Raw genomic sequence first — 25522 nt, 5'->3', positions numbered from 1 at the left:
TCCCAAGGTTGCCCTCCATCCCACAGGGCCAGTCTCCCTGCTCTCCGCTCCTCCCTACTTCCCTGCCTTTGCCCATGCTGTGTCCCTGTCCCACTTGCTGTCTCTCTCTGCTGAGTTCTGCTCCAGACTGTCTGGATAAAGTCATGCTGGAGAGGCAGGAGCACTGGATGGGAGGCTGGTGGGTCACTGCCCTTTCCCCTCCCCAGGCTGACTGTGTGACCTCAGGCAAGGCCTTCCCCTCTCCTCCCCAGGCTGTGTGACCTCAGACCAGCCTCTCCCCTCCCCTCCCCAAGCTGACTATGTGACTGCAGGCAAGGCTCTCCCTTCCCCAAGCACTGGCTCCTCATCAGGACACCAACTATTCCCAAAGTGGGGTCCCAGGTGGTCCTTTACATGGTTACAGAGATGAAGTTAATTTTAGCCAGTCATGTGTTTATTTTAAATTGCTTTAGAAAAAATATAACTTGCATGCCAAATCCATGATTTCACAGATACTACTGCTAATGTGGCTAAGTTTTAAAAAGTGAATCAATTCAAAGAAAAATACAGTATGAAAAATACAGTATGGGTGGTTGGTGGACCTGGCAAAAGTTTAATCTGAAGTGAGAACACCAGGTATTTCTCTGTCTTTTCCATGCAGAACATTCTCGATGCCACAGTTTCCACAGACGAGAAAGGAGGTGTTGAGCTTGGTCACTCCAACCTCCTGTTCCTTGCTGTGCAATTCTAGCCTGGAATGTCTTCTCTGTGCAGCCAACCCTCAGCCTTTAAGGCCTGACTCACTCTGATCTACATAGTCCACAGTGACCTTCTCAGAATCCGCAGACAGCCGGCGCCTCTCCCTGGGCTCCTAGTCTAGAGCTTGTCCTAGCCTCTTCCATCCTGGGGGTGGGGCACTGCTCTGTGATGGCAGGAAGTGATACCAGGGTCTTCTGAAAGACTGAAGACTAGTTTGCACTTTTCCCAGGCAGCCTAGGTGAGTCGTGGAGGCCATGGGGAGACCTGCTGGGTAACTGGCCTCGTGGCAGGCCCAGCCTATCCATGAAGGGAGCCCAGCCTAGTGGGGAGACAGATGACACCAGAACCTGAGGCTCAGGGAGCCAAAGGGATGGCAAGTTCTGTCTCCAACCCCAGCACAGCCCGTGGCTGGGCACCGGGGATGGTCTGCACAAGGCCTGTTTCTAGACTGAGTGCCCAGTTCTCTGCTCTTCCCAGTGCAGACGTCACCGCAGGCTCTCCCTGGGGTACAAGGGGAAGGGTCACAAGAACCGGACTGGAAGCCACGCACACCTAGATTCAAATCCCAACCCTGCTGTGTGACTTGGGCAAATCACTTAACCTCTCTGTGCCACTTCCATCTACTCCCATATTAAAGAGGATAGCAGGCATGGTGGCAGGCACCTGTAATCCCAGCTGGTCGGGAGGCTGAAGCAGGAGAATTGCTTGAACCCAGACGGCAGAGGTTGCAGTGAGCCGAGATCGCGCCACTGCACTCCAGCTTGGGCAACAGAATGAGACTCTGTCTCAAAAAAAAAAAAAAAAAAAGAGGCTAGGCCGGGTTAGGTGAGTCACTCTTGTAATCCCAGCACCTCGGGAGGCTGAGGCGGACAGATCGCTTGAACCCAGGCATTGGAGACACTAGCCTGAGCAACATGGCAGAACCCTGTCTCTATACCAAAAACACACAAAGTTAGCCAGGCATAGTGGTACACACCTATAGTCTCAGCTACTTGGGAGGCTGAGGTGGGAGGATGGCTTGAGCCTGGGAGGTGGAGGTTGCAGTGGGCTGAGTCGCACCACTGCACTACCACCTGGGCGACAGTGCCGAACTCTGTCTCAAAAAAATAAATAAAAAATAAAGGTGGCTAATCATCCCCATCACCTCCAAGGGCTTGGGAGGAGCCAGTGCCAAGCTGCCTGTCATATGCCCAGCACAGGACATGCTGACCTGATAGGCTCTCCTGAGCCCACCCGGCAAAGTCCACACTTACCCCAGGTTCCCCAGGTGGAGCGCTCAGCGGCCCGCAGTTTCTGTGCCTGTTTTCCCATCTGACTTCACCTCTTCCTCGTCCACCCTCCCCCTTCTCCTTTTCCCTGCTCCTTCTGCTTCCTCCCACTCTCTGCCCTTCTTTCCTCTCTCCCCCAAATCCCCAGCTCCCCAGTCCTCAGGGTGTAGACACAGGAAGGAGGCATCTGTGGTGAAGGCTCTGGTGGGCACACTTGTGGTCTCTTGAGTGACTCCTTATCCATCTCCTGTTGCCCCCACAGCCCAGCTAGCACTTCTGAGCTGGATGCTGCATCCTGGGGGACCACAGCGCTCAGGCTCGGGGTGAGCAGGCATGTTCTCCCACTCAGCGTGTTCCCCGGGGATGGGCCTGGGCAGGCCCTAGAATGAGGCAGGCCTGCTTCCTGGAAAGAATGGAGAGTGTCTGTCTCTCAGCAAGCCTGGGCTGGCCTCTCCACAGTGGCTGGTAGGCTGGGACTGGATCTCCATGGAGATTCTCTCTGCTGGGCCTTTGAAAGGGCCAGGGGAAGGGAGGTCAGGGGCTGCTGTTGATCGATGGCTCCACAACCCTGGGCGTGGAGCTCCACTCCACGTGAACCTATGCTAAGTCTTCACACAGAACCCTGAGCTGGGAGTCTGCAGTCCTGGCTCCGCTCCCCATTCAGACTCCTACTGACCTTGGGAAAGACACTTTGCTGCTCCAAGCACCAGTTGCTCCTCCTCCTCTACCCCAGCCCTTCTCTTTCTTTCTACTTCTGTGGAATTACAGGAAAAGAACTTGCAAAAATCATGACTCCTGCCTCCTCATTACTTCAGCATGCATTTCCTACAAAGGACGGCAATTTCCTTAGCACATCACCATCATCGCATCTGAGAAAACTGACCATTCCTCAGTACCATGTAATGCCCAGCCCGTGTTTAAATTTCCCCCCAATGCCTTTTACAGCTATTTTAGTTTCTGACCTAGGATTCAGTGAAACCTAGGTTCATGTGTTGCATTTGGTTGTGATCTCTCTTTTGCCTTCTTTAACCTACAATACTCCTATCACCTTTTTTTTTTTTTTAAATAGCATTGCCTTTTGGAAGATACCAGGTCAGTTGTCAGTCATCTTATAAAACATTCCAATGATTTGTCTCATGATGCTTCAGGGCAATGCCAAAGTTGTTCCTGTATCCCTTGTAAACTTTAAGAGTTAGGTCTAAGGCCTTGATTTGATTCAGGTTACTATGTCTCCATTATCAGTTACTTGGCTTTGGTAAAGCATGCGAAAGGAGAGGAGAGGGCAGGGGGAATGTGTGAGCACACACCTGGTCTGGCTGTTGGCAGTGAGGAGGCCACCTGGCCAGTGCCAAGGGTTTGTTCTGGAAGGTGATGGACAGAGGCTGGAAGGCCAGGCCAGGCACGAGTACACACTGTGGGCCAAAGCTGGGTGTCTGCAGAAGGACCTGCATTACTAAGGAGCTGACCTCACTGTGAGGTCAGATGCATGGGTGCGCAGGCAGGGAACAGAAAAGACTCCTCCCTACTCTGCCAGAGAGAGGAGGCCTTGCCGAGGCTGTAACCGGGGGAGGTGCCCAGACCTCAAAGGGAAATCGGTGGGGGCGGCCAAGAGGTGACCTGAAAATCTGGCCCTTTGCCTTTACCCTTAAAGCCCTGCCCAGATCCTGGTAGATTCCCCCTGACTGATTCTAGTGAGAGCAGAACACACTCTCTTTGAATCTTTTAGGACCAATGAGCACAAGGCGCAAGACTGGGACATATTGGTTTTGAGATTGGTTTTCAAGATTGGTTTTGAACTCTGTAAAAGAAAGGACTTTCTTAATGGTTAGAGCTGCCTAACTTGGAAAAAGAAGCTACCTTGATAGGTAGTCAGCTTCCCATCCCTGGGGGGGTTCAAGATTTAGGTGGATGACCTCCGATTAAGGACGATGTGGAACAGTGAATGGAATTAGATTGCCTTCCAGCCCTGAGATAATAGAGTTCCTCTACTTTATTAAAGACATCATGTTGGAACAGAGAGGAGTTTTGGGGTCTACCACCTTGGTTCTGCCACCCTGGCTGGGGGCCTTCCTCTTTTATATTCCCCTACCCCAGTTGGGTTGCTGTGACCCTGAATGACAACAGCTCTTACATGGCAATAGCCACCTCCTTTTAGGGTGTCCCACAGAGCTGATTAATGCTTTTGGCACTTATTTCAAGCTTTAGATATGCATGTTTTCTTTCTCCAGTTAGTGGTTTGTAAGTTACCAGATCATCCAACTCCTTCTGGCCCCTGCACAGCCCCACCCCACTCCATGCCGGGTTCAGGGCTCCCTTATAGCTGAGCCTCATAGTGACTCTGGCTGAATCATCTCTCAGTATGGTAGGGGGGCAAGAGCCAAGGTCAAGCACAAGGAGGTGCCTCCTTCAGGAACCTCACCCCAAGGCTGTGACTTCAGCCTGCTGAGGTTTTGCATTTTATTTTCAGGCTGATGTGCTGCCCTGCCCACAGGATGAGGGTCTGGTCCTTACCCTCCCTCATGAGCCCTTCCTCTACCATGTTCTTTCTTCTGGTCACGCAGCCCTGTCTCCATTAGACTCCTCATCACCAGAATACCAACACCTCTGAACCCAGTACTGCTGTCAGGCTGAGGCCTAGTGAGTCCCTTGCTGTTGACAGCACAGAATCAGCAAGGGGCCAGTGCCTGCAGAACCACCCTGAAAAGCCCACCCGCAGTCATGATCCTCTCCAGACACCACCTCTGTCAGCCCCGCTGCTGTCCAGCGGGCAGAACTAGGCAGGTGCTACAATCCCATTTACAACATAGAGTGTCTGTGTGGCTCATGGAGGAGTTAAAAGAGACTTGTCCAAAGTCACAAGCTATCAAAATGGTGTAGCCAAGACTTCAGCCAAGAACTTCTGACTCTTAGTCTACTGCTCTTTCCAATACAACACATATCTTCTCCTCCTTCAGCCTCTCCACCTCAACTCTTACCCCTCCCCAGTAGCTCCATAAATACAGGGCCCTACACAAAAGTGTAAAGAAACTGTAGCAGGAAGAGTTTTAGGAGTCAGAAAGAATCCAGTGGTTTCTATCTTGGCTCTGCTACTTGTTAGTTGTACGACTTTGGACTACCTACTCAACCTGTCTGAATATCAGTTTCCTTAACTGTAAAATGAGAATAATGTCATCCAGCTCACTGGATACAATGAAGTGACCAAACACAAATTGCTTGGCAAAGTGTCTGGCCCAGGATGGGTGCTTGCTCAACACTAGCTCTACCCTCTCTCCTTCTCCTGTGAGGGAGTCTCTGACTTCAAATAATCAAATGTTTACTTGAGGAGGTCAGGCTTTGCCAGGAGGAGGAGGACAGGGCGGGCTGGGCTGGGCTGAGGGTCAGGAGGAGGGAGGGAGAGGTTCTGGATTCCAGATGTGCACAGCTGCTGGGCCTGCTCCCTGGCAGCCTCTCCCTGGGCCCAGGGCCATCCTGGTCTCCCTCCCAGATGGGGAGGGCCCGGAAGGAAAAAGTATTCATTTTGCAGCTGAATGGCCCTTATAGCCTCTCAAGAAATGTAGGATGGCTTTTTCTCCCCTCTGAGATAATCACTATGTACACTCCACATGGAAGCAAATTGTATCCTGTCCTCGGATCTCAAAAATGATTTATTGTGGCCAGCGGGTGCATTTTCTAGATGATGACATGAGCAAAATTTAGCTTTTAAGTGGAACACGAAAATGTAAGAGAGCAGTTTTTTTAGTTTCTGACTCAGGTGAGGGGGCAATGTGGCTACATTCACATCAAAGGGCTGGGAGGAAGCCCCCTGGGAAACAGCTGTGTAATGTGGGGGGAGCCCAGGAGAACTCTCAGATCTGCCCTGGTAGCTCCCATGGGGCAGCCCATCAGGATATGTGGCAGAGCCTCTCCTGGGTCATGTGCTGTCAGAGAAAGACTGGCACTTTCCATCTAGTTTGGTCTCTAGCTATGTGACCTGGGACAAGCCGCCTTCCTTCTCCAGGCTCAGTGTCCTCTTCTGTGATATGTGGGTATCAACTGACCTGGGTCCTGGAATCTGTATGAGGATGGAACATGAGAACACAAGAGAAAATAGTATGGCACTGTCATGAAGGAAAGACACCGTTATCAACTGCTCCATCTCATCCAAAGCATTCTGGGTCGTGAGCGAGAGCTGATCATCTGTTCCCCCTCCACCCGGGAAAGGTGGACACACAGGAGGAACACAGCACATGTTTCCATACTGGAGGAGCAGAGGGAACCAGCCTACAGTCCCGAGGGGCTCGCCAGCCTGGGCAGTAATTCCCAGTGGACTCCAGGCTTCAGTGTCCTCCTTTGTAAAATGAGAAAGCCAAACAGACAATGGGAGGTGCATGGACTGTGCCATTTCTCTCAGCATAGCGTCTCTCAGACCCCTGCCCTGACCATTTCCAAACTTGGTTATGCATCAGAATCATGTGAGGAGTGTGTCGTGAAGGCATGTATCTGTGGAACCAACATTTGGGAGTATCTGCTCTTGCCTGTGCACCTTAGAGTAGGCTAAAACTGCACTGTCCTGTATGGTAGCTACTAGCCACATGCAGCTGCTTAAATTCAGATTAATTAAAATTAAATTGAAAACTCCTCCTCAGTTAGACTAACCACATATCAAGTGCTCAATAGGCACATGTGGCTAGTGGCTACCATATGGCACAGCAGAGATTACAGAGCATTTCCATCACTGCAGTGTGTTGCATTGGACAGCACTGGGAGAAAAGACATCAATTAGCTCCTAAAAGTCATCAGTTAGCTACTAAAAGTCCTAAATCCTGGAAGAAAAGAATCAATCCAAACCTCCACACCTGGAAGTTCCTGGGTGGGGTGTACAGGGACTTAGGAAGGCCATGATCTGGAGTCACTCCACTGTCTTTCTCTGCATCTCTGACAAACATGGAATTCTTGGGTTCCAGGACAGTTCTCCTACCAACTCACAGGGCCCCTTGGGCAAGCCCCTCATTTTTCTCACCCAGGAAATTGGAATTCCTCCTCGCCACCCAGCTCTGTCCTGCCTCCCTCATGCTATCAGGGAGTGGATCTAAGCCAAGTGGGAACAGGCAGGGCTGGGATGGCGCCTTCTCAACAGTCTCTAGAGGGGAGGATACGCAGCATGCATCCACCACCCAATGCAAGCCCAGCCAGAGACACGGTCTATTCTATACCAGGCCTCTGCCCTGAATCCCTGCAGCCTTTCCTGCTCTGGTGAACAAGGCCGGACATGTAAGGAGAAGGCTGTAGCCACCTCTGCCTCATTCTCTTCAAGACAGCTTCCTACCTCCCCTAGGATGGTCACTGGGAAGTCTTCTGAGGCCCCCAGATTCCATGCTGTGCTCCCCTTGCTCCTGGCTCATCACACTAACAGCAGCCAACGTGTGTTTAGTGCTTACGATGAGCTAAGCATTCTACATTCATTATATCCTGCATCCTTAAAATAACCCTGAGAAATAGGTACAATTATTATTCCCATTTCCAGATGCGTCTGGGTTTGTCCAGGTCACTGAAGTGGAGGAGCTGGGATCTGATTCAGAGCTGTCACCGAGGTCTCTCCTTTACTTGTCTGCTCCTCAATTATCCTGGCTGCTGTTGAGGGCAGGGACTGCACCTCATTCCTCCTTATTTTTCCAGGCTTACCACTGGGCTTAACATCATCTTGATAAATATACGAGTGAGGGAAGGAATAGGAGGGCAGAGACAAGGAAGAGCAACCCAACTCTTTGCCTCAAGGCCTACAAGAGTCCCGTTGGAGCTCCAGATCACAAACCTTGTCCATCCCCCTATTTGCAGGACCAGATCCCACAATATTCACTCTGCACAGAGAGCCAGGAAAATGAAATGTCTGCCTCCTCTGGGCCCAACTTTTCCTCCATGTGGTCCTGACACAAAAAGGCTTTCAAGGAACCGTATCCTGTCAGAGCAGAAAGGGACTCACAGGTCCACTAAATCCAGCCTCTCATTTCATAGACCCAGAGAGGAGGAGTGACTTGTCTCTGGATGACCGGTCCACACTGCAAGCTTCCTGCCCTGGGGGTGGTAGAATCTGGTGCTGCCACCCCTCCCCTGCAGGCAGATCCCATGGGAGTCTGTCTGGGCAGGCGGTGGCAGAATAGCACCCACTCAGGGAAGCATCCATGCTCCACTGGGCTTCTGAGTTCTGTGTTTCTCTGGCCAGGCAGAGAGGGGCGGTGGAGCTCAAAACACAGGCCCAACAGATGGTTTCTATTTGCAGCCACTGAGGCTGGTCTGTGCCAGACTCCTGACCTATTTTGAGGAACTGAGGGCCCTGCTGGCTCAGAGATGGCCTCCAACTTGCACCCCCTTAGCCCAAAGTCTGGCAGGGGATCAAATGGGTGGTTCAAGACCAGTGGGGAGAGGAGTGAAGGTGGAAAACCTTTGAAAATGAGGCCAGGGTGGATGGTCTGCAAGCTCGAGCTCTGGGGAACAGATCCTTGGAGTGCGAGCCCCAGGTCATCTGCCTCAGAATCACCTGAAGTGTTTGTGGAAATGCAGGCTCCCGGGCCCCACTTCCAGCCTGCAGAATCACACACTGTGGGAATGAGCTAGGAAATGTGCATTTTAACCAAGCCCACCAGGTGCTTCCTGTTTGGGATCTTTGCTGTTCAATGGACTGCCTGTGGACCAATAGCACTGGCATTACCTGGGAGCTGGTTAGAAATGGAGAATCCCAGGCCCCACCCTTGACTCAAATGAGAATCTATGGTTGAACACGGTGGTGGTCCAGGTGGTTCACATAGATGATTCAGTTGGGTATCACTCTCCAGCTCAGTGCTTCTCAAACTTGCAGGTGCATCACAATTACCCGGTGGGCTTGTGAAAACATAGATTGCTGAGGCCCACAGTTTCTGATTCAGGAAGTCGAGGGTGGGGCCCGAGAATCTGCATCCCTAACACGTTGCCAGGTGATGCTGAAGCTATTGGTCCCGGAACCAGACTTTGGTCCCTGAGTGGCATTGCAAGGAGCACTGGGCCCTCTGAAACTTCAGCTCTGTGACTTTGCATCTGTCCCTTTACCTCCCAGTTCCTCCATCAGAAAAATGGATATAATTCATATTTTTCCTAGGATAGTTATGAGGATCCAGTGAAATAATACTGTGTGTGAACATGCTTTGCTAACTGTGACTGCTCAACAAAGATTATTTTATCAGTCAATCTGCACCTTCAAAAGTGCTTTGGGTTTGCCCCTGACAACCACCCTGCCGGCCAGCGAGTGAGTAAAAGAGCTGGGCCTAATGCATCCCTCGAGGGCTTTCTTCTGCATTTCTAGACTGTCATGCACAAGATCATGCAAACACCAAGTGCTCAATAAGGGCTGGTGGAGTTAAACCCAGGACTTCTGGTTTTCAGCCCTATTCTCTGTCCACAGCAGGTCCTACTCCTCACCCCCTCCTTCATGGCCTCCGGCTTCTTGGTAGGTGAGGCTGAGCAACTTTTTTAAAAGGCTGTTTCATAGTCCAGGCCAAAGGCTGAGCCGGGGAGATGCCAGGCATAGCTGCCACTGCCGAGGCTCCCTGCCTGTGACATGCCCTGACCGACTCTCAGGATAACCGGGATCCCGTGTTCAGAGTGCCTGGCCTGGCCCCTGGCCCACAGACCAAGACGTTGCTCCCTGTCACCTGGCAATGCAGAAAAAGATGGACTGATAAACTGTCCCCAGGGGAATGTGGTAACTGGTGATGGGCCTTCCCCTTCCCAAGAGATAATCTATCTACATTACAGCCAGGGGATGGCATGGAAGAGAAGGACGATCTGCCGGCTCCGTTGTAGTATCTCTGTTAGAGTAAAAGGAAGCCCATCTCTCAGTGCCCCAAATGTGAGAAAGGAGAAGTTGAAGTTCTTTATATTGCTGCTAATCATTTTGGGTATAAAAAAGGATAGTAAATCAACTTGCCCATAAAGAAATAGATACCAGGCCTCATGCACAGAGCTTACTTGGAGATAAATTCTTTGCACTGTCCACCCTGTGCTGTCCCCAAGGAGTGAGTGTGTGTGTGTGTGTGTGTGTGTGTGTGTGTATGTTGGAGTAACCATTTCCTCTTGGACTTTGGAAACAATTCAAGGGGCCTCACCAGCTGAGGGTCTAGAAACTAGAGCAGAAACTTTTTTTTTAAATTAAACTTAATGGTACTGAGGAAATCAATGGGTTTTTGTTTGAAAACATCCGTGATAACTGTCTCATGATGTTCTCCACCTCTCACTCCCTGCCTTGTAAAAAGAATCCAGTAGTTAATTTAGGACCCAGCAAGGAAAGAGGAGTCTTGCTGGGATCTGTGGCCAACAGTTCCCCTACAATGCCCTCTGTTCCCCCAGTTCACAAGGGAGGCCGCCTCATTCTAGGTGGTCATGTAGCATTCTGCATGACTGTCCAGCACACAGCTCTGCTCCATAGAAGTGACCCACACTCAATGGTGACAGCTAAACCAACCAGCTCCTCCCCTTGAAGGGTTTAAATGTGGGCTACATTGCACCACTAGTTGGTGGCAGAGGCAGAAGCCATAAGCGGAGGGAAGAGAGATGGAGAAGAGGTCAGAGAGGAATGTAAAGGGGATCACTGTAATTTTAAAAATAATGTTAGTGCACTGTTCTGCATTTACTAGGTGTAACCTTCCTGCTCTCCCCTAACTCACATCCATTTATTGGCCGGGTGTGGTGGCTCACGCCTGTAATCCCAGCACTTAGGGGGACCAAGGCGGGCAGATCACTTGAGGTCAGGAGTTTGAGACCAGCCTGACCAACGTGGCAAAACCCCATCTCTACTAAAAATACAAAAAATTAGCCAAGCGTGCTAGCGCGCACCTATAGTCCCAGCTACTCAGGAGGCTGAGGTACGAGAATCACTTAAACCAGGGAGGTGGAGGATGCAGTGAGCCAAGATAGCACCACTGCACTCCAGCCTGGATGACAGAGCAAGACTCTGTCTCCAAAAAAACACAAAAATTAAAAAATAAACAAATGACATCCATTATCCAGGGAGAGTTCGGACTGTTAAAGCAGGACTCAAAAAAATTCACATTCCAACATCCAAGATAGGATTCTGCAGCCACAAAATATCTTAAGAGCCAGAATTGTTGAGAGAGGACGTTTCTCAACTTCTGTCTCTCCGTGTTAGCAAATGAAGAGTCCTGTCTGGCTGACTCCATCACAACTCTACTGGACCGAGCTGAATGCGTTTTATCACTGCTACCTACCAGGTGGGGCTCCTGGATGACACCAGACAAGCTTCAGAGGAAACAAACTTGTATCTTCTTTGCACATCCAAGTTGTCAGGGCTGCCAGCTAAGACCATGAAGGCTGTACCCTGCACAGATGGGCCGTGTGGATGAATAGCGCCCAAGGAGTTATGCCACATGGGGGCCACGGGTGCAGGAGGCACTCACATCACCATCCCAGAGACCCCGCTGCAGCAGTCAAGATAACGGGAATCTGACTACCTTCTAGCTCCGAAATTCCAGGCATCTGAGAGGCCTGGGAGCCTGGGAGGCCTGGCTGCTAGTCACCCTCTAGCCCTGCCTCCCTCATTACTAAAGGTCAACAGAATCTGTTGCTAGCAACCAAGAGAGAGCCCACTCCAGCGATGCTGAGGGATGGCATGTGGCCCTCCCTGGTGGCCATCTGGGGCCATTCCAGCAGCCTATTTACACTGACTGCGAGGAGCACCTCCTCCTGGCAGCTCAGGAGGGGCTGTCTTTGTGCAGGTGTCAGCACCTTCTCTGGTGTAGCTACTGATGTCAAGAGGTAAACGAATTGGCCCCACGGGGTCTCTGACCATCCCATCCCCAGGGACCTACCCTCCCCTGAACACCTGCAGCATTTCCTGGCTGCCACCCTGCCCCCTGGCACCTGGTGTGTACTTCAGGGTTGGTTGGTTCTCTTTACACGTGTTGAGATTAACTTCTCCCGGAGGCTGTAAGCTGGGCCCTGGTGTCAGCTCTGAGAGCTGGAATGCACAGGAAGTCTAAAGGTTGCCGACTTCCTGGCTGAGATTCTGGAAGAAGAGAGGACACTGTTCCAAAGTGGGCCAAACAGAGGATGGCTTCACAGACAGACACAGGTTTAAATCCTAGCGCCACCACTTACTAGGTATCTACTGGACAAGTTCATTAACTTTTTGGAGCTTGTGTTCTCATCTGTAAAATGTTACAAAATGTATAACAAGCCCTAGACAAGTTCATAAACTTTTTGGAGCTCGAGTTCTCATCTATAAAAATGGGGGCAACACTGCCTCCTTCTCAGGACAGTCTCCACCCTCTTGGTCTTCCTCACAATGCCCTATACATGGAGACCATCCATAACCCACTGACGGGCAAGTGGCTGGCCTTTGGGGGACATGGGGAGTCAAGCACCACTGCAGAACCCGGCCATCCAGGTGTTCCCTGGGAGCACTGGGACAAGCTCCTGGAGAAGGGAGGCAGGCAGATCTGCTGACTGGACTCGTACCTGCCATTCCCAGCACCCCCTACCCCCAACCGCCCTGCACCACCACGGGAACACCCCTCACCCTTGGGAGAGGGTCCAAGACCCAGTTCTGGCAAGTGAGACCTAGGAGGAAGTCCACTAGGGGGCTTCTGAGAAGGATTTTTGTCTCAGTAAGAGGAGAGAGACATAAGAAAAGTTCTTTCTTGGCATACTGGCACACACACGGCTTCCCGCCTTTGCTTCCATTTGAGGATGTAAATCCTGGCGCTCTGGCACCCATTTTGTGGCCAAGAGGTAACAAGCCTACAACCAAAAGGCCAAAATGATGAGAAGACAGACCACAAGGACAGAAGAGGCCTGGGTCCTTGATGGCACTGTGGAGCCACCGACCAAACCTAGGACCTCCTTCCTCCGCAACTCTTGTTTGAAAAACCATGAAAATCCTAGAGCTTGAGTCAGTCTTGGTTGGCTTTCTTTGTTACTCGCAGCCTAAAGCATTCCAACTGATGGAAATAAAGAAGAAAAGGAACAGGGTAGTAGATCTCTGAGTCTTTGAACACTGCCTGTGACCTGTCCCCATGAGGTCTTTCTGCCCCCACAGCAAAGAACTTTGCTATTTTAAGGAGGCCCAGAGACCACAGAGCCCCACCCAAGCCTAGCAGGCCTGCCCCTGCCAGGAACAAAAAAAAAACATTTCATTTCGAGGTTTTCTCTCATCCCTCAGCACCGTTCCTTGGGGTGTGCTGATGCGGCTGCCCGTGCCTGCCATGCAGTTGCCGGAAAAGTTGCACAGCTCAGGGGATGATAACAATGACCACTTGGGTCGAGGGAGCGATAGTCAAGTTCATGCTGCCCGTTGCACACGACCACCCCACACAGCATCCCCTGGGTCCAGCAACACTGCTGAGCCTTGAAAGGAGATTTTTTCCCTCTTTTTCTTTCTTTATTCAACTGAATGCTGTCATTGCTACAGAAGCCACGAGGAAGAGGGGTGGAGAGGAAAACGAGGTAATGGATGCAGAACATCTGGCACGGTGCCTGGTGGGCACTGAGCAAACACCAGCACCCTCCCTTTTCCCTTCCAACATAATGGCAATGCTGGGTGACAGAACATGGCATCAGGCAACTCCTCCAGGGCAGGGTGCCTCTGGCAGGGGCATTACCTATCCTTTTGGATTCCTGGTTTTTAAAGGACTCTTTCTACTGGGGTGCTTTTCCTTCAAGGTGTCCACTTAGACATAGTGCGTGTGTATGCACACAACACACACACACAGACACACACACACACACACATGCTGGTTAAGAGCCCAAGCTCCTGACTCCACAGCGAGTTGGGTCCCAGTCATGAGGTCAGGGTTCTCAATTAGCTTCTGCCTCAGCCTCGTCCAAGTCCTCCTGATCTGACCCCTACTGAGGCTGCTCGTGTCACTGACCCTCCTGCTGGTCCCCTGACCATTTCATAAGGACATTCAGAAGGCCTGGGAGCTGCTCAGTGCATAGCCTTTCCCTGCACATCGTTTCATCCCCAGCACCTGGGCTCTTTGTTTGGGCCCTCCTGGTTTCTGTGAAAGTCAAAGCTTTGGTTGCCTGAGTACCAAACCACTGGCATAGTCTGGCCTCTGTAAATCTGCCTCTGGGGATAAAGTCTCTCTCCTCACCTCTTCCACTGCGTCAGGACCACTCCAGTCCACAGGGCACGTTTGTGAGAATAGAGAAAGGCGCCTCTTCCTCCAACAGAATCAGCTCCAGGCTCAGTGAGTGGAATGTGGACTGGATTTCAGCCCCCACTTACACCCTGCCAGGTGCCTTTGTGCAGGGCACAACTCTGACAACCACACACAGCAGACCTGCAATGGAGCCTTTCCAATTATTCTCCTGAACTTCTGATCTAAATGCTTTTCTCAGACATTGACTCATTCAGAACTACTGCAGAATTTCCAATGTGGAGCAGCCCCACTGAGGGGGCAACAACTTTGCAAAACTGCAAGATACATTCGGCACTCCCCAGCATGATCCCATGGCTCCCCCAGCAGACCTTGCTGGTCTCACCTTCCTGGCTCTCCTCTGCTAACTCCAAATAAAGTTACAGCATCTCTGCTGTCCAATTACAATTCATTTCTCCCTGCCCCATCTGGAGGCAAATGGCACATGTGTCCCAGGAGACCCAGTGGTCCCTCCCTCCCACATTCTCATCCTGCCCTTTCCCCAGCTTGCCTTATCTTCCACATCACATGGGAAACTGAGGGCATCCCTCTCAGCAGAAAGCCTCTTGTACCCAGCAATGCTTAGCCTCAGGGAATGAATGGAGAGGCTGGGTGAGTCCATGTAGACTCCGGAGGAGGCAGGATAAGCCCTGGGAAAAGGCCTTTCTCTATTGCTCTGTCATGAGCAAGTGGATCTACCTTTTGGGGCCCCATTTGTCCATCAACTGTGGTGATAATAATGGTGCCTCCTCATGGAGCTGATGTGGGGATTAAAAGAAAATACATGTACAGTAACTGTAACATTACTTTGCTCATACCATGGGCTTAATACATGTAGCTATTGTAAAGTCCCTTGACTCACCTGTTTCTATTCCCTTGTTACAAAATGGATAAAGAGATATGTTACATATTTTAATGTATTTCACACTTAGTGTTGTACTTGCTACGTGTCAGGTACTATTCAAAGCACTTCGCAAATACTGCCTTCCTTAGTCTTCATCGCAACCCAGTGAGGCAGGCGCTATTATCTTCCCCATATCACAGGGGATGAAACTAAGGCACAGGCATTCAGTAACTTGCTCAAGGTCACCCAGGCAAGAAGGGACAGAGAAAGGATTCAAACCCAGGCCTTCCACTCCATAGGGTGTGTGCTTAACTGGGCTATGGGGTTTCTCTGTGACCACTGTGAGAATTAAATGAGGTCATGCCTGCAAAGTGCTTGGCACGTAGAAGGCACTGGAGATCTGGTCATTATGGTAATGTACCATTATTGTTGAATATTTATCATTGTTATTACTAATATATGCAAAGCCCCACCCAAATTATGCTGGCCCTTCCCCTTTTCTTCTTCTCTCCAGCACTGATGTTGCTGGTTTGGGTGGTGGTGGGGTTGGAGGAGGTCTCTTTATGGAAGGCTGTGTTTCCAGTTTGGGGGCAGGGAGGGAAGATTTCGGGTACAGAAGTAAGAGTGAGTAAACTCCCTCAGCACAGAGCCTCATCGAACTTCTACACCAGAAGCTCAGTTAAGTTATGTTAGCTATGATACAGGGAGGCGTGGAGATGAGGATACACCAGGGTGTGCGGGGCAGGAAGGGGGCTGTACCCATAAGCCTGAGGGTCTATGGCAGGGGTAAGCAGACAGAGGGAGATGAGGCTACCCCTGCAAGATTCAGCTCAGCAAATAACTGAGTCACCTAATACAATCATAGAGGGTCAGGGCAGAAGCCATTTCCTGCTTACATCTCCCCGTCCCATCCTGCAGATGAAGACCACATTTGTCACAGTGCCTCTCACCCAACCATGATGCAGAGTCTCCTCTCCCACGAGCTCCTTATGCTATAGCCGGGCTCTCCTTATTGTCCCAGGCACGTGGTTACCTCCACCTCCCCAACCCCAAGAGAGTCCAAAGAGATGCCCGCCCTCTTCTCTCTGCATCCTGGAATTTTACTCATCTCTCTCCCAACACACACCTTCCCTGACCACCCCCCACCAACACACTCTTTCTTCCTGGGGACCCACCTGCACTTGAAGGTCCATAAACCACTCTCAGGCACTGAGGGCAAGTTGCCCTGCCCTGGTGCATTGCTTTTCCTGTGTTCGGGTCTAACTCCAAACTCCTTGATGGTTGGGATGATGTCTTAGTCATTTCTGAATCCCTCATACGAGACCAGCACAAAATCATACAATAATGAATACACAGACATAAAGTAAAACAAATAAACAAGTAAAAATGAAATTTTATAAGTAATACGTTTAGAAGCAGCTTATAGGAATTAACTAATTTAGTCCTCATTATCCTCATGAATCTGACATTATTGTGCCCATTTTGCAGGCGTAGAAACAGAGGCAGAAAAAAGGTAAGTACCTTGCTAAGGATCCCCACTTGGCAGTGGTGGGACTGGGAGCTGAACCCAGGAGTCTTGCTACACATCCTGTGCTCAGAGCTACCCTTTGCACTCTCATTGGCCATTGATGAGTGACTCAGTGATGACACCTGGCCTCTGCCTACTCTTCAAACTCATGACTTCTCCAGGGAAACTGACACAGAGAGGTGCCTGGGGGCTGGGGCCCCAGCCTCTGACCAGACCTCCTGGCCTCTCTGGAGCAGCGGTTCTCAGCCCTTGCTGCTTAACTTCACCTGTGGAGACGTTTTTTCATAAGTACTGACACCTGGGTCTCTCCCCAGCCAACGAAATGGACTTGATGATGGGGCCTGAGCCTCTGTATTCTTGAGCTCCCCACAGTGAGAATGAAAAGCCACTGCTCTAGAAGCAGTGATTCCCGGGAAGACTCTGAGTCTCTTGCTTCCTCCTCCCCTCACTCAAAGGCTGGGAGTCCCGCATCTGTGTCAGCCAAGCCCCTGGCTTCTCCCTTCTGTCCACATCACTTGTCCTCAAAGGGCCCAGGGGAGAACACCTGTCTGAATCTCTAGCACTCAGGACCACATAAGCCACAGGTCGTGAGACAGGACTCAATCTAGCCAGCAGCTAGCAGCCAGCACAGTGATTAAGCATGTTCTAAATTAGTTGCCAACATTTTTTAAAAGTCAGGATCTTTAAGAAAAACCTAGACTTCTTTGATTTTTCAAAAATCAAAAATCAGAAACTACTATGCACCCACATTCCCACTGTAGCCCCTTCAGGAGGGGAGGGGGATGCTCCAATTACACTCAAGCCCCCTCCTGCGTTATGGTTCTCATCTGAGCCCTGTAAGCACTGGAACTGTGTGCCCTCACAGCAGCACGCAGTAGGAACATTTTTAAAAAATTGCTGAAGAGTGAGTCTTTTTGACTTTTGAAGCAGCCCGTGCAGAAAGATTTACATATGAATCAAACAAATTGCATTTCTTGCTAGACAGCATTTCTGGATGAAAGCTAGAAACAATTAAATTACCCCAGGAAGAAAAGCTGTGGCACATCCACAGGATGGAACACAAACTCAGCAATAAAAGGAGCAAACTACTGATACCCACAACACCACGGATGACTCTCAAATACAGTAAAGCTGGGCTGGGTGTGGTGGCTCATGCCTGTAATCCCAGCATTTTGGGAGGCCAAGGGGGGCAGATTGCTTGAGCTCAGGAGTTTGAGACCAGCCTGGGCAACATGGTGAAACCCCGTCTCTACAAAAAATACAAAAGTTAGCTGGGTGTGGTGGTGTGCACCTGTAGTCCTAGCTACTTGGGGTGCTGAGGTGGGAGGATTGCTTGAGCCCAGGAGTTGGAAGCTGCAGTGAGCCGTGTTCATACCACTGCACTCTAGCCTGGGAGACAAAGCAAGACCCTGTCTCAAAAAAACCCAAAACAAGAAACAACAAACAAGAAAAAAACCTGTAACGGAGTGCACAAGCAGGCTCAAAGGCTGCATACCCAATGATTCCATTGATATAATATTCTGGAAAAAAACAACTTCTACAGATGGAACACGGATGAATGCTGGCAAGGCCTGGGGGTGGGAGGAGGGCCTGACCACAAAGGGACAGGAGGGAATTTCAGGAGGCAGTGGAGATGTTCTGTATCATGATAGTGATGGTGGTTACACGATTGTTTGCATTTGTGAAATGCATAGAAGTGGACACTAAAAAAGATGTTTTTTTAATGCATGTAAATTATACCTCGAAGAACCCGAGTTAAAAAAAAAAATTAGCTGAAGACACGTTTGTCTCCATTCTAGATAGAGAAAGTTGCATAAAATAAACTGTGGAAAAGCTTCAAGTTTAGAGATTCCTAAACCCTGCGTGGCACCTGAGAAGACGGGGTCCTTCCAGCATACAGCGGCATGCTCGGACCGCCCATTGCAAGGAGGCTCAGGAACAGCCGAGTGTGGTGCAGAGGAAGGGACCCTGGGCATACAGTCACTTGTCCTGCAGTGTCCTTGACTCTGGGCAGGAGTGGTCTTCGACCACTAGCACTGGAGTTAAAAACAGAGACATGGCTGGGTGCAGTGGCTCATGCCTGTAATCTCAGCACTTTGGGAGGCCAAGGTGGGTGTATCATGAGGTCAGGAGTTCGAGACCAGCCTGGCCAACATGGCAAAACCCTATCTTTACTGAAAATACAAAAATTTGCTGGGCGTGGTGGTAGGCACCCGTAATCCCAGCTACTCAGGAGGCTGAGGCAAGAGAATCAGGAGATGGAGGTTGCAGTGAGCCGAGATCATGCCATTGCACTCCAGCCTGGGTGACAGAGCGAGACTCTATCTCAAAGAAAATAAAAAGAAAAGAAAAGAAAAAAAAAAACAGAGATGCCCAGCCCCACCCCAGATCTAGTGAATTATAATCTCTGGGCATGGACCCCAGGAACTCTTGGGTCTGATGTTTAAAAAGCCCCCAAGGTGATTTGAATGCACAACTAATACATCATATATTAGTTTTAGGCCCAAGGGACGGTAGTTCCTAATATCAGTTCCAGGCTGGAGGAAACACTGTGAACAGTACCTTTCACAGACTCATGTGGTGCTGATCACGATTGTTATTTGTGTTGGTAGTCGTGCTCACTGTTGATTCTAATATCATTTTTGTTGTTGTCATTGGTTTTAGAGACATGGTCTCACTGCTGCCCAGGCTGGAGTACAGTGGTGATCATAGCTTACTGCAGCCTCAAACTCCCTGGGCACAAGGGATCCTCCTGCCTCAGCCTCCCGAGCAGCTGGGACTGCAGTCTCACACCACTGCAAGTCTTGTGCCATGGCTGATTCTAATAGCCGACATTGGTAGAGTGGTGCCTCTAGTTTACAGAGCACCCTGACATGGATTACCTGACTTAAGCTGGGCAGCTGGCTTTATTTTTTATCCTCATTTATGGGATGAGGAGACAGAATTACAGGTTAGGTCACCTGCTCAAGACAGCAGGACCCGCCACCCCAGTCCTTTAAGTCTGTCTCAAGTCTCTTTCCATCACCCAGTCTCTAGGGCTGAAAATCCTCCTTCTTGTTGGAGGTTGAGCTGAGGAGGGCTGGGCAGAGAGCAGGAGGAATTAGAAAGGGCATCTTCCCAACACAGCAGTCAAGGAGTCTGTGCGACCCACGCTCAGCTGCAGAGAGAAGCTGCTGTAATCCGTGGTGTCGACAATGGAGGGGCTGGGGCTGCTCAAACACACCCGCCTCCAACCTCATGCTTTGCAAGTGGCACAAACGGGGATTACCCAGCAGCCGTGATCCAGCATGCGGTAATCCTCACCCAGCCCTGCCTGCCCTCCCACCCGCTGCTGCTGCTCCTGGGAGCAACAGGCTCCTGGATGCTGGGATGGAGACGCCCAACAGGATTTCTGGAGCAAAGGAACCTGAAGCTGCCCTTGGCTTCTCCCACCAGGAGTCAACCGCACTGCCCTGAGATGACTCCTGGTCCTCCAGCCTCTGTTTACATGCAGGGCGGGAGAGGCTGACCTCACTCACTTCTGGCTCTTTGGGATGGGATGGGGTGGGGTGGGGGTGAGGAGGTGGTGTAAACACAGCTGTGGGTGGGCCAGACTGGCTGTCACTCACGTCAGGCTTCCACATGCATGGACACTGCCAGGGCTCCCACATGACCTTCCAATGGTGGTGCAAAGCACCCAGGGTCTGCATCCAGCAGCTTCAGTCAAGGCCCCTGCTCTATTGCTCTGGCGAGTCTCAATGACTTGATTCAAGAGGCAGCATGGGCCCGGGCTTAAAAGAGCCGGGCCGGTTCCTCGCTGTGTGACCCTAAGCAAACAATATCACTTCTCTGCTTCCTCATCTTTTTTTAATTTAAATTTTATTTTCTTTTAATTGAGACAGAGTCTCACTTTGTTGTCCAGGCTGGAGTGCAGTAGCGTGATCTCGGCTCACTGCAACCTCTGCCTCCCAGGTTCAAGTGATTCTCCTGCCTCAGTCTCCAGAGTAGCTGAGATTACAGGTGCCCACCACCACACCCAGCTATGCTTCTCATCTTTAAAAGAGGGGTGATATTAATGGGGTTTACCTCCTAGGGCTGACATGAAGATTAGATTCCCTAAAGTATACAAAGCACCAGACACGTGCTAAGTATCTATAAATATCAGCCATCACCATCACCACCACCAGCCTGTTTCCCAGTCTGTTCAATGAGAATCATTCTAATCTCTTCTGCCTGCCTCACAGGGGTGTTGTGAGTTAAGGTCAACAAAACTGTAAACTCTGAGAGGACAGAGCCTGTGTCTGCCTTGGTCCTCTGCTGCATCCCCAGGATTCAGAATAGTATCTGGTAGTAAGGGTGCTCAGCAAATATCTATGAATGAATGAATGGGGTGTGGGGGTGAATCTTGTGACTCTGAAGGTGCTCCATAGGGCTGAGCTGCTTCTGTTTCTAATGAGTAGTCGGTGAGGTCCAACGATAGGATTTGCTGTGTTGGGAGGTGGTGAGTTCCCCATTGCTGAAGGCAATTAAAGAAACTGGAGGTCACTTAGCACAGATGTCAAGGATGGGACTCATATAGCAGGTTCAGGTCGAACTGAATGACACTGGAGAATCCTTTCCAACTCAGAGTGAATTATAGGCTAGCTCACCCCATACCAAATCCCCATGGCCTTCAACAGCATCAGGCATGTCTTCCCCAGTCAGCTCACGCTCAAGGGAATGTACAACCAACCCTCACATCCTCACACTGCAGTCACACAGTCCACCCAGCTGGGCAGTCTCAAAACATGCCCATGCCCCCACACACTCCATTTTCACATGCAGTCACTCACCCAGCAGCATTGCCACAATTGTCGTGAATGTACCGAGCACCCACTACAAACCTGGCTATGGGTTAAGTCCTTCTCCAACTTCGTCTCATTTAATTCTCACTCCTAAGCAAAAGAGATTATCCCCATTTTAAAGATGGAAAACCAAGACTCAGAAGGTCAAATAGTGGCTCACATTTATAATCCCAGCACTTTGGATCGGGAGATCACTTAGGGGTGGGAGGATCACTTGAGCCCAGGAGTTTGATACCAGCCTGGGCAACATAGTGAGAACCTATCTCTACAAATAATAAGAAAATCAGAAAAATTAGCCAGGCATGGTGGCATGTGCCTATAGTCCCAGCTCCTTGGGAGGCTGAGGTGGGAGGATCACTTGAACCTGGGAGGTCAAAGCTGTAGTGACCCATGATTGCACCACTGTCCTCCAGCCTAGGAGACCCTGTCTCAAAAAAAAAAAAAAAAAGAAGTGAAACTTGCCCAATGTCACGTGACTGTCAAGGAGCTGAACTGAGCTTTGAACCCAGGTCTGTATTATCCCAAAGCTTGTCCTCTTAAGTCACATTGCTTCCCTAACACAAACCAACAACCAAACCAAAGCAAGGCCAATCTCTTCTCACAAGGCTCTGGTAACCAACCCATCTGGAAAGGCAGAGTTATGAAGACAGAGCCACAGTTCATTCCCATCCCAGGTGCACATGTGCTGGTCTCCAGTTCAGGCCAGTGTGGAACCCTGGGCAGGTCCCCTTTCAGGAATGCCTCCTCCTCATCTCCTCCTGCCAAACCCTATTCAATAGTACGAGTACAGTTCAAATGTCTCCAGCGCTGCGAAGCCTCTCTGGTCCCTGAGAAAGAACTCAGCACTCCCTGCATCGTGCTTGCTCCAGGTCTCCATGCTGGCACGCACTGCGTTGTTCTCCAGCTAACTGTTTATGTGTCTGCTTCCCCTAGCAGACTGAGTCCCATGGGGCTGGAGGCAGTGTGTGATTTGTCTGTGCCTCCATTCCAGCCATGAGCACAGGTCCTGGCACCTCCAAGATGCTCAATTGCTCATTAGACGCTGTGGCTACATTGCTTATGGCCTTGAGGGTCCCTACACCTGCACTGGCAGGGTTTATGGTGGTCACACAGTTGAGAATATTCACTGCCGATCTCATCCGTCCACTCCAAGCTGAGTAACACACCCGTTAATCAGCAGGCGAGGAGAACATCTGTGGCTCCTTCAGAAAGTAATAGCTTCCCGGAAGCGGAGCAGCATATAATAGGCCCTGTACCGCTCGCTGTGCTCCCAAGTGGAGCTCGGCCAGCAGACTGCCTTGCATTTACCCCAGCAGACTTTCTACCCTTTGTTGGGGGATTTCATCAGAGAAACTGGCTCCCCGCCCAACCCTGCCTGACACGCACAGTGGGAAGGCCTAGAAACCTTCTAGCCCTGGTCCTGCCTCAGCTGGCTGAGTGAGTGGCTGAGTGACGGCAGGCACACTCCCTCTCTGGGCCTCAGTTTATTTATCTGCAAAACAAAGAAATAATTACCCTACTATAGCTGCTTGATAAGACTCAGATTAAAAAAAGGAATGAGAGAATAAAACAGAGAAGGCACTTTGGAAATATAAAACTGATTCAAAAGCAAGATGCGGGACCAGGTGTTCCCTAAACGCAGACTTTTGAATGAGGTTGGAAGGGGAAGACCCTCTTTACTCCTGTGGCTTAAAATAACTTATCAGACTCATGGACAAGTGTTCTGTCCTTTCTGGGCCTCAGTTTAGTCATTTGTCAAACAAGAGGTTGAATGGAATCAGTGTTTTCCAAACTTCATAATTTGTGTATCACTGCCAACATGTTCTTGCCATTTCTACAAATCACCCGAACCATGTTTATTTAAAAATTTTCTTTAAATTGGCTCTTTCTAACATTTAAATATCTGTACAAACATCATTCTAAGCAATTTAAGCCATGACATCACAGTTTGATGTCCTAGCTACCTTTTTTCCTAAAACACATTAAATAAATATACGACAATTAGGCCGGGCATGGTGGCTCACACCTGTAATCCCAGCACTTTGGGAGGCCAAGGCGGGTGGATCATCTGAGGTCAAGAGTTCGAGACCAGCCTGGCCAACATGGTGAAACCCCGTCTCTACTAAAAATATAAAAATTAGCCAGGTGTTGTGGCGTGCGCCTGTAATCCCAGCTACTCAGGAGGCTGAGGCAGGAGAGTTGCTTGAACCCGGGAAGCAAAGGCTGCAGTGAGTCAAGACTGTGCCACTGTACTCCAGCCTGGGAGACAGAGTGAGACTCTGTCTCAAAATAAAAAATAAAAAAAACATGACTCCACTTTCATCTTCTATAAAATGAGAGTGACGATGCCAGCATTGTCCACCCAAAAAGGAGAGAACACAGCAAGGAAAGACCTAGAGTTTATCTGGTCCTACTATTCACACTGAGTTTGCTGAGAATGAACACGTGCACACACACACACGCATGCACGCACTCATATATATGTACATGTACATATATGTATGGGTACACATATGTATGTGTACATATATATATACACACACACACACATTTACACCCAGCATTTACAATTACACCCAACCATGTTTATTCAGGCCCTGCTGGGACTATCTTGTGTACTACTGGTAGTCTATGTCCATTTTTGAGAAGCAGAGGGAGAGAGAGCCATTTGGAACATTTCCAGCTCCAACAGTCCAAGGTTTACATCCATGTGATGCACGCACCTGGCACCAGCACCACGACAGAAGCCCCAGGGGATGATAAGACAGTCCAGCCCTCTAAGACCTTTCAATCTTGCACACACAAAAAATGCTCTCCAATTGCTTCAGTGTGTTTTATTTGTATTTTATTTACATCCTTCTCTAAGGCATCATACTAAAATGCATACATTGCAGCAGGATGAAAATCTAAGTGATAAAATTCAGGCTAAAGGAAAGTGAGGGTAGGTGATCTAAGGCAAGGCAAAATGAATATATAAAAGGCTAATAGCTCTTGAATGCTCCCTGGAAGAGTAACACAGATTGGGGCTCTGGGCTTCCTAGCAGTCAAAGTAAAAAGGAAAACATGATTCATTCTCCTTTCATTCCTATCAGTATGTGATATATGAGCAATATCCTCAACTGCATCCCAAAGATAAATATGATGTAATTGTATCTGGGGCTGCTGACCTGACTAGGGAGATGCTGTTACCATCTTCTGACAAGTATCCTTGCCTCTCCTTGAGCCCATCTTCTATGCTGATGCCACTGTGATCCTCTCCTAGATAAATTTTTGATCACGTCACTTCCCTTTCTCAAAATCGCAAAATGTTTTCCTCTTCCCTACAGAATGAAATTTTAAATTTTCAGGCTTGTATTCGAACATCCCCTTGAACTAGCTCAAAGTATTTTTAGGGGCACATGTCTAGGAACCTCATATTTAGATCACAATGTAACTGCCTGAATTCAAATCCTGGCTCTACCACTTAGTAGCCATGTGACCTTGGGCAAGTTACATAACTTCTCTGAGTCCCATTTTCCTCTTTTGCAACATGAAGAGATAAAAAGTCCCTGCCTTGTGCTCGCCTCGGCAGCAAATATGCTAAAAAGTCCCTGTCCTATAGGATTATTGAGAACCAAGTGTGATAACCCAGGAAGAGCACTGCTCATGTGCCAGGCACATCAGTGCTATCTCCTCAGCTGCGCACTCACGCCTCCCAGCCTTTGATCACACTGTTGCTTCCATCTGGCTGCCTTTCCCCTTTTCCTGTTTACTCAAATCTTTTCACACATCTGGACTCAGCTCAAGTGCCACTTGAACTGGGAGCCTTCTGTGATTTTCCCAAATTAATTCATTTTTTTGCTCCTTTTCCATAGCACATGATTTACATGTAATACAACATGTGTAATATATGCAACGCTCAACCCATGTTTCTCACACTGGAGGGTCACCTCCTACTAGTAGGTTATGAAATCAAAGTGGTAGGCTGCTACCAGTATTTAAAAAAAATGAAGCAGAGTAGAAAAGACTAGAAAATAGAGTGCATATCATGACCTTTGGTTTTGTTTTGTATATATAACATGTATTTGTGTGTGTGTGTGTGTATGCATGTGTGTGTATTGGGTCACAACAAAATGATTTTTCTCACTAGCAACTATAGCAAAAAAGTCTGAAAGCCA

General features: G+C 49.6%; 1 protein-coding gene across 5 annotated transcripts in view, besides 3 other annotated features; it reads right to left on the bottom strand.

Moving 5' to 3' along the window:
- Window positions 1-25522, bottom strand: part of CORO2B (coronin 2B) — a 209434-nt gene that overhangs the window by 84226 nt on the left and 99686 nt on the right. Inside the window, exon 1 of one of the 5 annotated variants that reach the window (NM_001190457.2) lies at window positions 11240-11509. The exons of 3 other annotated variants lie outside the window; for them this stretch is intronic. The gene's annotated coding sequence lies outside the window, so the exon portion shown is untranslated. Of the gene's footprint in view, window positions 1-1991; window positions 2079-11239; window positions 11510-25522 lie in introns of those variants that run through there. One more of the 5 variants, NM_001324015.1, reaches the window with a different exon arrangement.
- Window positions 1137-1654: an enhancer, noted in NCBI's record as "H3K27ac-H3K4me1 hESC enhancer chr15:68934266-68934783 (GRCh37/hg19 assembly coordinates)". NCBI's record gives its function as "activates a minimal SCP1, AML or CMV promoter by ChIP-STARR-seq in naive H9 embryonic stem cells {active_cell/tissue: H9 hESC(naive)}" and the evidence as "EXISTENCE:reporter gene assay evidence [ECO:0000049][PMID:30033119]".
- Window positions 1888-2399: an enhancer, noted in NCBI's record as "H3K27ac-H3K4me1 hESC enhancer chr15:68933521-68934032 (GRCh37/hg19 assembly coordinates)". NCBI's record gives its function as "activates a minimal SCP1, AML or CMV promoter by ChIP-STARR-seq in primed H9 embryonic stem cells {active_cell/tissue: H9 hESC(primed)}" and the evidence as "EXISTENCE:reporter gene assay evidence [ECO:0000049][PMID:30033119]".
- Window positions 2400-2911: an enhancer, noted in NCBI's record as "H3K27ac-H3K4me1 hESC enhancer chr15:68933009-68933520 (GRCh37/hg19 assembly coordinates)". NCBI's record gives its function as "activates a minimal SCP1, AML or CMV promoter by ChIP-STARR-seq in primed H9 embryonic stem cells {active_cell/tissue: H9 hESC(primed)}" and the evidence as "EXISTENCE:reporter gene assay evidence [ECO:0000049][PMID:30033119]".

Source organism: Homo sapiens, chromosome 15, assembly GCF_000001405.40.
Source record: "Homo sapiens chromosome 15, GRCh38.p14 Primary Assembly".
Classification (NCBI taxonomy): domain Eukaryota; kingdom Metazoa; phylum Chordata; class Mammalia; order Primates; family Hominidae; genus Homo; species Homo sapiens.
Note: the sequence above shows the minus strand (reverse complement) of the source record. Positions and strands in the feature narration are given on the sequence as shown.